The sequence below is a fragment of the Homo sapiens genome, chromosome 1 (assembly GCF_000001405.40).
Source record: "Homo sapiens chromosome 1, GRCh38.p14 Primary Assembly".
Taxonomy (NCBI): domain Eukaryota; kingdom Metazoa; phylum Chordata; class Mammalia; order Primates; family Hominidae; genus Homo; species Homo sapiens.
In genome coordinates, this window is record NC_000001.11 from 163,864,096 (window position 1) to 163,876,034 (window position 11,939).

General features: G+C 37.4%; 1 annotated feature.

The window, feature by feature from the left end:
• Positions 11,074-11,630: an enhancer, noted in NCBI's record as "NANOG hESC enhancer chr1:163844406-163844962 (GRCh37/hg19 assembly coordinates)". NCBI's record gives its function as "activates a minimal SCP1, AML or CMV promoter by ChIP-STARR-seq in naive H9 embryonic stem cells {active_cell/tissue: H9 hESC(naive)}" and the evidence as "EXISTENCE:reporter gene assay evidence [ECO:0000049][PMID:30033119]".

Sequence of the window (11,939 nt, forward strand, 5' to 3'; positions counted from 1 at the left end):
CGCAGAAGGCCCAGAGAGAGGCCAGCAAATGAGAAATGTGCTTCTAGAGTTTGTCCCACAAGGTCAAGAGCATATTTAATAGAGAAGGTTGCAGCATTTAATGAGAATGAAAAAAAAGGTGTTATATGTTTCATTGCTCATCCTTCTGCCCTCATTCCTGAGTTCTTCATCTTGTAAGAACTGAAATCATGGAAGATGAGGCCATCCAGAACTTTTTGAGAGGTCTAACAGGCTCAGTCTTCTTGGTTATCTTGGACAGTCAGATGCTAATTCTGGGCCCGAAAGCCAAATTACATGGGTCAGCCCTGCTTCCTGTAAGTGTTTCTTGGAAACATGCAGCTATACACTCTTGCCAGGCCCTGTTGATACTCACTGTCTGTGCCTGCTCATGACATGTTCAATGCTATGTTATCACACATTGTTAGGTTTATTTTCATGTACTTAACCTGTCTTCCAGATCACATTATATACAACTTAAGTAAGGAGTCTCCTCCTAACCCATTGGGGCTTGCTCTGAGTAGGTACCCAATAAATACTTCTTGGTAATGAAACTCTTTCAACTGCAAGGATCCCTCCCTAAAGAGCCTACACATCCTGCACAGCTGTGCCAAAATGTTAGCGTCTCAGGCAAAAAGAATTGTAATAGGCGACATCTTAAAGTGCATTCAGTGGGAGAGCTGGCCAAAACCCCTTCCAGTCTCTGGTAAACTGAGCTATCCTAAGCAAGTCAAAGCCTTCACTCCTTAACTCTAAAACAAATAATTTAACAAAGTAATTTCTAAGCTTTTCTTTAGTGCTTAGTTATATCAGGAAAAAAAATAGAAGACTTTCAGGGAAACTCTTTAGACATTTCAGGCAATGTCTGCATCCATGGCTCACAGACCTTCCAATAACCATCGCTGCATCATGCAAAATGTTCACTAGCATGTTCTGAGATCAGAAACCTAAAGACCATGCATTAAGAATATACATACAAATAACCTATTTTAAGCTAACTTAAACGACTGCCTTTTATTTTGAGACTGTGGCCTTATTTTTGAGGTGATCTTATTGTTTCTTATGAAATAAAATAAATAGTAAAATAGTAGATTTTGTTTTGCTTAAAGCCTCTACTGTGAAAAAAAAAATAGCTGGTGACCCTATGTCTGCTCCCCCTACTCACACAAATGTTTTCTTGTTGCAGTTGTCTTAAGTTTATTGATTGTGAAATTTAAAAGTCTTTGAACTTCAGGCATAAGCCCAGAAAGACGACAGGGTTCCCCTAACTCCAAAAATTAGTGCTGATGCAACGCCGTGGATAGCTTTCAAGAAATAAACATTGGTTTTATAGGTTTCTGTGGATAAAGTTTGTCAATTACTGATAATCATATTCTTGAAAAGCCACACAAAAATCAAATTGTTTCAAATGAGTTCCCAGTTTTCCAGTTCCTTAAATTATCAACCCCAAGGCTTCCTTTTCTTTTTTAAATTGGTTTTCACCTGGAAGCAGCTGCCCCTTCTCCTCTTCCTTCTCAACCTAACTCTTAGACAATTGCTTCAGTTACTAATCTAAAAACCATAAAATAAAGGCTCAAGGGAAGCAACTCAGGCAAGGAACTCTGACATAGATCCTTCTGTAGAGAATCATTTTTAAATCATCTTTAATTTGTCCATTTTATTTATAAATATCAACTATCTTACAGAAAGCTCCATTATCTCATAGTCAAAATCAGTCATTAGTTTACTTGTTAAGTCTTGTGCTATTTATTTCTTGTTTCTTCTCTGTTAATATGTAAGTGTGCATGTATGTGTGTACACTGCGAGTGCACACGTGTGTGTATGTGTGTGTGTGCAGCAATGATCTAGGAAGACATTTTTCAGCTTTTCTTATGGTTTTCTTGAATCCTTGACCAATTTACAATATATTCCATTGGGGGAAAAGGCACATGGTTTTCAGCTCTGAAGTAATGGCCATAGGCACCCTCTCTGTTTCATTGGCACTGGAAATGGTGCAAATAATTTCATCTATCTTTGATTTGATGTATCACCTTATTAGAGACCAACAATGCAATGTTTCACTGTGTTGATATAAGTTAATATACACTGGCTGACCACATCCCACAAAAAAAGTTCTTGCTGGCAACAATGTTCCATGGTCAATTTTTTCCACATTCTGACAGCTCTTAGTATTATAGAAGGCTTTTATTCCAACATCACCAAATCCTTTACCAGCTCTCATTACCTGATACCTTAGTGAAGACAGAAATGGTAGATATCTATCTCAGGCCAGCTGTTAGGGGTGAGAAGTAAGTGCACTGTTCATATTTTTTTTCTATCAGAGCACTCTCTGTTTGAGGTCACAAGAGCAGTTCCATTTAATAAATTACTGGAATTAGAACTCTGAGTGGTCTTGACTTCCAGGGTCTGCAGAGTCTGAAAAAGATGTTGGATTTTTTTCATTTGGCTTTTCTCCTGCCAACAACACCCAACACCCAGGCACTAGGAAAGAGCTGGTATATGCAATTAAATGAGTTACATGAGTTACATGGCCTTGCCCCATGGAGGTCCCTACATTTCAGTTATTTTAAGAATCTCATCAGTATTGCTTCACATTAGCTCCCATGAATCAAATGAGAAAACCATGAAAAGCAAAGCCAACCAGTTATCTCATGTGGGAATCCAGCTGTTACCGCCTTATAAACAGTACTTTTTTGTTAAAAGTTTCTGTCATGAAGGTTTTGACAAGTTATAAATTTCCTTCCCCAGTTTTCCACTTGGGATGTTTTCCATCCAGATTTCAAAACTCAACTTTTAAAGGCCTGCTAGTTTCAAGTATGGTAATAACATTTAAACAACAACAGCAATAAAATATTTATAGACGTCAGTGTTTATTTTCAAGAATCATGTTAAAGGGAAATGAGAGTTCCTCTGAGGAAACTAAGGCAAGAGATGAGACATTTTGAGATGAGATATCCATTGTGAACATACCCAAAATGTCCCCACCCAATAACTTTTCTGTGAGGGCTAATAGTGTATCAGCTCTATCCACATGCAATCAGACTTTTAGCATCTAACTCAAATGTAAATGGATACCCCAGAATCACCAGACTTGGAGGCAAGGATTTAACATGAAAGTTAGAGACCAATACAGGAAAGACAGAAAGAAACTTAGAGAAAAACAGAGAAAATCACAGAGAATATTTTAAAATCCTATAGTTAATATACAAATAGATATTGGCTGCATGAATGAAACAAGATTAGATTCTAGGTATCAGGACTTTCAAAGAGTGAGAAGTTCCCAAGAAAACTATGAGAAGAAAGAAAAACAACATAAATGAAAATCTGAAAGAAATAATAAAATTGAAGTGTTAATGCATAGGATCACACACCTGAATAATATGAGTTCTAGAAAGAGAATAAAAAACAGAGAGAACATTACCAAATATTGACATATTTTCCAAAAGTCAAAGAGATAACATTAAAAGGGCCTGGTGAGAGCTCATCACAGTGGATGGAAACAAATTTCCATTAAGGCTCAATCATGGTGAAGCTGAGAACACCAGGAGTGACCCAGACACTTTTCAGAGAGAAAAAAAATGGGTCTTCTACAAAGGACTGGAACTCAAGGTGGCATTTTTCTTCATAGAAACACCAAACGCCAGAAGCCAATGAAAAAGATAGAAGACAAAAGAGAAATGCCTTTCAATTTCCACCTAGAATTGTTATTCAGCTGAACTAATTAGACAAGATGGTAGAACGAAGACACACCCAAGAATAGCAAACTCTTAACACTTCATTTTTTCATATGTACACTTTCTCAGAAGTTACTGGAGGATTTAAGGTATCCTCTAAAAGTAGGCTTGCACACAAGAGAGAAGTCAAGAAAGAAGATATGAGATCCAAGAAAATGGGGATCTAATATGTGGCAGAGCAATCATCTCAAGTTGATGCTGGTGTGACAGGTCTGAAGCACAACCCTTCTATGGGAGCCAAGGAGGATGTGGTCCAATGGAAATGTCCCCAAACATGCAAGATAAAACAGATAGGTTTCTTCTGTGTTTGACCATCTTGGAGGTAGCTTTGTAAATCTGTCAGAAAGTTTTACTACAATGTCATTTTAAAGTCATAGATAAAAGTCAAGACAGTGGTTATTAATTTGAGAAAAAAATATTTTACAAAGAGGAAGTGTAGTCACAATGAAATCCATGGCTAAGCAATATAGTCATGGGCAGCATAATGAGATTTCAGTCGATGACTGACTGCATTTATGATGGTGGTCCCATAAGATTATAATACTGTATTTTTACTGTACTTTTTCTATGTTTAGATACAAAAATACCTGTCATTATGTTACAATCACCTACATGATTCAGTTCAGTAATATGCTCCACAGGTTTGTCACCTAGAAGCAGTACGTTATACTCTATAGCCTGGGTGTGCAGTAGCCTATGTCATCTAGGTTTGTGTAAGCACACTCTATGATGTTCATACAATGACAAAATGGCCTAATGATGCATTTCTCAGAACACATCCTTGTCTTTAAGTGATGTCTGACTATAATTACATAATCAGCATAACTTAAACATTGTCCAAAGGCAATTCCTGTCAAAATGCCAATGATATTCTTCACAGAAATTTAAAAAAAAATCCTACAATTCATATAAAACCACAAAAGACCCTAATAGCCAAATCAATCTTGAGCAAAAAGAATAATCCCGGAGGCATCACACTACCTGACTTTGAAATATACTACAAAGCTGTAGTAACCCAAACAGCATGGTATTGGCATAAAAACAGACATGTAGACCAATGAAACAGAACAAAGAGCTTAAAAATGAATCCACACATTAACAGCCAGTTGATTATCAATAAAGACGCCTGGAAGACACTGTGAGGAAAGAACAGTGTTTTCAATAATTGGTGTTGAGAAAGCTGAATATCCACAAACAAAGTAATGAAATTAGACCTTTATCTCTTACCATATACAAAAATAAAGGCAAAATGGATTAAAGACTTAAATGTAAAACTGGGATCTGTGAAAATACTAGAAGAAAACATCAGGGAAAGTCTCCATGACATTGGTCTGGGCAACAATTTTTTGGCCATGACCTTAAAAGCACAGGCAACAAAAGCAAAAATAAACAACTGGGATTATACCAAACTAAAATGCTTCTGTGCAGCAAAGGAAACAATCTACAGAGCAAAGAGATAACCTAGGGAATAGGAGAAAATATTTGCAAACTATATTCTGTAAGGGGTAATATCCAAAATATATAAGGAACTTAAAACAACTCAATAGCAAGAAAACAACCCTATTAAAAAATGAGCAAAGTCAGGAGATGAAGACCATCCTGGCTAGCATGGTGAAACCCTATCTCTACTAAAAATACAGAAAATTAGCTGGGTGTGGTGGCAGGCGCCTGTAGTCCCAGCTGCTTGGGAGACTGAGGCAGGAGAACGGTGTGAACCCAGGAGGTGGAGCTTGCAGGGAGCCAAGATTGTGCCACTGCACTCCAGCCTGGGCAACAGAGGGAGACTCCGTCTCAAAAAAAAAAAAAAAAAAAAAAAATGAGCAAAAGACCTAAATAGACATTTCTCCAAGGAAGACACATAAATGACCAACAGGTATATGGAAAAATGTTCAATATCACTAATTATCAGAGTAATGTAAATCAAAACCACAACATATTACTTCACTCCTATCAGAATGGTTATTGTCAAAAAGACAGAAAATAACAAGGGTTGGTGAGGATATTGAAAAAGGAAAATCTTACACATTGTTGATGAGAATATAAATAGTATGGTCATGAAAAATAGTAAGAAGCTTCCTTAAGAGATTAAACATAGAACTGTCATATGTTCCAGCAACCCCACTACTGGGTATACATCCAAAAAAAATGAAATTAGTTCATTGAAGAAATATCTGCACTCCCATGCTTATTGCAGCATTATTCTCAGTAGCTAAAATATGGAATCAACCTAATTGTTTATAAACAGATAAATGGATAAATAAAATATGATACATATGCTCAATGTAATACTATTCAGCCATAAGAAGAAGGAAATCCTGTTGTTTGTGATAACATGGATAGACTTACAGGGCATTATGTTAAGTGAAATAAACCATGCATAGAAAGACAAATACAATGCTCTTCCTCATATGTGGAATCTAAAGAAGTTGATCTCATAATAATATAGAGTAGAATGGTGGTGTGTTAGGCCATTCTTTGTGTTGCTATAAAGAAATACCTAAGGCTGAGTAATTTATAAGAAAAGAAGTTTAATTGACTCACGGTTCTGCAGGCTGCACAAGCATGGCACCAGCATCTGCTTGGCTTCGGCGGATCTTTCACTCACAGTGGAAGGCCAGGTGGGATCAAGCAGGTCACATGGCAGAGTAGGGGCAAGACCAGAGTAGAGGGGAGGTGCCACACCTTGTAAACCATCAGATCTTGTAAGAACTCACTATCGTGAGGACAGCACCAAGCTATGAGAGATCCATCCCCTTGATCCAGTCACATCCCACCAGTCCCTACCTCCAACATTGGGAATTACATTTCAACAGGAGTTTAAGAGAGGATACATATCCAAACTATATCCAGTGATTACCAGAGGCTGGGCGTTTAGGCAGGAGAAGAGGCTGGGGGAATGTTGATAAAGGATGCATAATTACAATTAGATAGGAAGAATAAGTTTAGGAGATCTATTATGCAGCACAGTGACTACAATTCAGTGCCATATTTAATGGTGATGTATTACATTCCTGAAAAACGCAAAGAGAGTGAATGCTAAGTGTTCTCACCACAAAAATGATAACTATGTAAGGCAATGCATTTGTCAAGTAGATTTAACCATTACATAATGGTTCAAAACATATTTTGTACACAATAAATACATTCAATTTTATCTGTCAATGAAAAAACATTGGCTATAGATTTCACTTAATAATTGTGAAATGATTACATTGGGAAAGATGGGGAATGGCATTTCTGTGTGTGAATGTGTGTGCATAGGGGAATGAACTCAAGCCTCGTCTGCTAGGACATCAAAAAGTAATGTCTAAAAATGCAAAGCTAAAACATCAGGTTATAAGTAATATAAGCAGGTTATAATACAGCATGGAAATCAGTTTCAACAGAAATTGCTTAAAAAGGTTGACAATAACTGCTTTTTGAGTGTGGACCTTGGGGTGGGCTGCGGATGGTTGGGACAGGGTACTGTTATCTTTCAATGGATCTTATAGACATATTTGCCCAATTAAATAATATATATTTTATACATAAGGAGTATACTACCACCTATTATAACATCAGGTGTAGGTAAATAAATTTGTGAAAAACAAAGAAAATGTTAAGAAATAAGAAAATCTTACTTTTCAAATCTGTTGGAATTAAAACACAATGGTTCACTTTGTACTTTTCAGTAAAAGGCTATGGCAAATAATGTATCATGACCATGTAAACTTTAATTTCCTGAGAAAGAAGTGATAGAAGTGATAATATCAATTTATTTGAGGACACAATCATTAAAATGTGTCCATATGTTCCATTACACACAAATAGCCTCCTACACACACAAATGCCCCTAATTATATGTACTTAAGTAAAATGAAGCAGAGAACTGAAGTTGGTAAGTACCTTACATATTTTAACTATTCATTCACAAAATGGTTACTGAGCATGAACTCTGGGCTTGGCATTTTGCTACATGCTAGAAATTCCCAAATTAAAAAAAAAAAATCACAAAACTTTCCTAAATGTCTTGATATCAAGAAAAAATAAAGATGGGAGGAGGGTCTTTGGTGTTCAGTGCTTCAAATTTATTGCCAAACCTACCTGAAGAGCTGCTTTTTTCAGTCCGGTTTTCTAGAGCAAACGCTGGAAATGAGTGTTGTCTCTGGAAACAAGTATTTGTGTTTCTTTTTTTGTGGTCAGAGAAGGGGGTTGGAAAATTTAAAATCAATGTTTACTCTGAAAATTAGAACAATTTTTTTTCATGACTTAATTCAACTGGATTTTATTTATTTTTTTACTCATAATTTCTTTGGATGGGAGGGAACACAGTGAGAATTCCAAGCTGCTCTTAGGAGAAGTTCGGCTTTATGTGTAACTAACATAATTGGCACTGTCCCTGTAAATTCAAATTGGATATCCTCCCAAATTTTATTTAAGCAATTGGCCCATCTTTCCTAAGCCTAATGTCTAAATTTGTCCTGACAGAGGACAAGCAAGCTTTCTGACAGCATTTCCCTTGGAGAACTCAGTTGTTAGGCAACCTTATCCTGAACAGGCCTTCAGTCTAGCATGGGGCGCCCTTCCTAGACTCCAAGGAACCTTAATCTGCGCTCGAGGTTTTTACTATATGTATTAAAGATAGTAGATTTCCTTGTCCTTTTGACAGTGGATGACAAATTTTCAAGTCCGTCTTCCCCAAAGTGAGATTCTACTCAGTTACAATGAACACTGCATTAGGCTTAGTGCAAATAAACTTTTGTCGCTGTGTTAAATTTAATCTTTAATGAGAATTGTTAAAATTTACTGCATCCAGATATAGTTGGAACAGCGTTGGGAGGCTACAGACTATGATGTGTAATAAAGAATTATCTATGCTCCATGCACTCCAGGGTATGCAAATGTCATCTCTTACACCTTTCCTAATATTGAATTCTTTTCTGGTTGCAGAAAAGAATTTCTTTAGTGAGGAGTTTGGGGAAAGAGACGAAGGTGAACAAAACAAACTTTTGTAGGCATTTTCATGTACTTGTAACTCAATTTCATATTCGACACAATTTTATGATTTACAATTTCTCACCAGGCATATGAGAAAATTTACGCTAAGAAAACTTCGGTGACATTCCCGAGTTGTGTGAAATTCTGCTACACCTCAGTTTCTACCCACTCTCAGATTAATCCATTTTCTACCATGTTCATGTGACAGAGAGCAAGGCAGTGGTGTTAATGGCTTCAGTAGGGCCAGGTTCTGATGACAGAGGCAGAGATGGGAACACTCATTTCCAGTCTGTGGACTTTAGCCAGGGAAGTTTCTGGGTTAACTACAAACAGTTTATAAGAAAGATCTTGGTGGGTAGTTGAGAGTGGGAAAGAAACTATATCTTACACCAAGCTTTCTTCCCTTTTTGGTTCAAGTTCCCCTGATTTAAAAAAAGCCTCAAATACATGGCAGCAAGAGTAAAATGGTAATCTGTACCTTCCCCTCACAAAGTTACTCCCTCACTGTACTAACTTCAAATTCTATGTAGAATATTTAAATACAAACATTATTAAATACTGGCAGTTCCTTTGCTCCAGTCATACTTTCTTTTAAAACAAAAAACCACTAGGGAAATTATATGCAAAAAGCTATGTTAATAAAGCACTCAGGTACAAATTTATACTAAAAAAAAAATGTTAGGAGATACAAAGCCTGAGAGACTCTTAGTCACGTACAAGCAACCATATTTTTCATATTCTATATAAAGCTATTTTAACAGCTTAATGAGTAATCTCAAAAAATTATGTACAGGATAAGTGAATTAATGTTACTGGAAAAACGTTAAGCTTTGATATTTCCAAAGTTTTTCATGCTTCCATCCATTAGCTAAATGTGACAGCTCAGCTTTTTGAGACCATGTACATTACAGCAGTCACCTATCCATGGGCTTTAAGATCATATTTCCTCATCAAAGGCAAATGTTCTTCAATCTCCCTTCCAAGCTTATGCTCAAGGAAGACTCTCACCTGTGTTGAGACAATGTCTCCCACAGGGCTAGCTTTACATAAAGTGGAGTCAGCAGTATAGACAGGGTTGCTTGATGTGAGTTTGTAAGAAGTGAGCTCCCTCAAAAGCCTTGGGACTGTTGGATTGGTGTCTGCAAAGCCAGCCTTGGGTTTAGAGCCCTTTGTTTTAAGGACCTGATGGCATTTACAAAGCTTATACCTTATCTGTTTCAAGCCAGCTGATTGCTAATCAGTTAATTAAAAACCTTTACAGATGTTACCCCATGCATGAAAAGCCACATCTGTGTATAATGAAACAAATGGATTATAAAAGCAGAGGGGCCAACTTGACCATCCAACTTGAGTCAGTGCTTATGGATTGTTTGTTTTTTCCAATTTTCCTTTTGCCAGCAATTCTTTGTAATGCCTCTGGTTTTGTGATGTAATTCTAGTGAAATCAACCTTCAACAGCCCAAAGTTATATCATTAATGATGATCGATTTCAATTACAATTACTAATTGATCCCAGACTGCTAAGAGGACTCCTGGTGGCAGGCAGTCACACTGCACTTTGGGCAGGAGGAGGGAGGTTCTTACAGCTTGCTAATTTGTTTGGCTTGGCTAGTTAATTTTTTTTTAATCACTTGTAAATGAAGAATCTGAGAGAAGGGTAGATAGGGAGATACTCATTTGGTATGGTACAGAGAAGAGAGGGATCTATCAATAGATGTGTATGAAAAAAAGATTCTGGAGGACTAAGAAGCAGTTTACAGCTTTGTCATAGATGACTTTCTTGGATACATTACACTCATTGCTGATATTTGGTCAGTTTTGGTGGTAGCATTTTCTTTCTCTAAGAACCATCTTCAATTTCCTAAACTATTAATGCTAGGTCACAAATCTTACTTGAATTTATAAATATGGAAGGAACCACAAGCATGGAGACCAAGAAAGTCATTTTAGGGAAAAGGTCCTCAAAGTATGATTCCCAGGCCAACAGCATCAAGATCATTTGGAAGCTTATTAGAAAAGCAGATTTTCAGATCCCATTCTAGTCTTCATGAATCAGAAACTCTAGTGGTGGAAAGTAGCAGTCTGCATTTTTACAAATGTCCCCACTGGTTCTGATGCATGCTAACTGCGGAGAACCACCGATTTAGGGTATCACCACTATAAAGTGTAAAGCCAGGAATCAAACAAGAAAATCAGACTCCAGAGTTCTTGCTCTAGGCTGTAAAGACTCAAGGATTTCTGAGGGTATAATTTTTCGAAGGAGAATTACAGCAAACACAGCTTTCTAAAACCCAAATGGTTAAAAGGAAACACCATTTTAAAGTAAAAGAGAAGATTAACAAACTATAGCAAACATGGAGGAAGGAGTCACTTGAAGCCTTCAGGACTCGAGACAGGTGGCCATACACATCCTCTTTCTACTACTATGCTCTTTACATAAAACTGTATATATGTGGCTTTGTCTAATTCTGTTCATGTTCTTCAGTCAGCGGATGGCCACTTTCCTCTTCACTGCCCTTGTACATAAGGGTGTGATACGGAAAGCTGCAATTTAGCCTAATACTTTCAAATGTTGCCTGCTTGTACAAAGCCCTCAGGGTGTTCTCCCTTGGGGCTTCAGGCCTGGATAACAGGCTCAGTATGTAAGTAAGACAAAAGGTGCGTGATGCTGGAAAGAAAAGAGAAAATCAACATCAATTAAGATGGGCTGGGGTGGAAAGAAAATGATTGTGAAAGAAAGAAAAGGAGAGAGCGAGAGGAAACAAAATGACTTAGAAAAGGAAGAAAGAGAATGTGAAAGAAACAAGGAGGGAGGAACCTGAGACAAGAGTAGGGAGGGCGGAAGGGATGGGAACACCCGGCAGCTGTTTGGAATAGATTGCGTGCACCCTCCATTTCCAGTGGACTCTTTCCTGCGTTCGTCAGCCGTCTGCAATGTGGTGATTAATCATTCATGTCAAAATCCCTAATCCTATTCAATGAAAAACAAATGCCATGGCACCCAGCCCTTTGCTATCCCATGTACTTCACATGCTTGCCTGGGTGAGGTTGTCTGGGACCAAGATGGTTTTCTGGGGACCCTCAGTACAAATTCTGGGCAGCTCCACATGTTGGAGATGCCCTATGATCTCAAGGGTCTTGCCTTTTACCGGAAGAAAAAAAATCACTAGCAATAAAGGTCACGTTGTGCTAGTTAAGCAAACAATCAACATTCATTTAATTCTCTTTTAA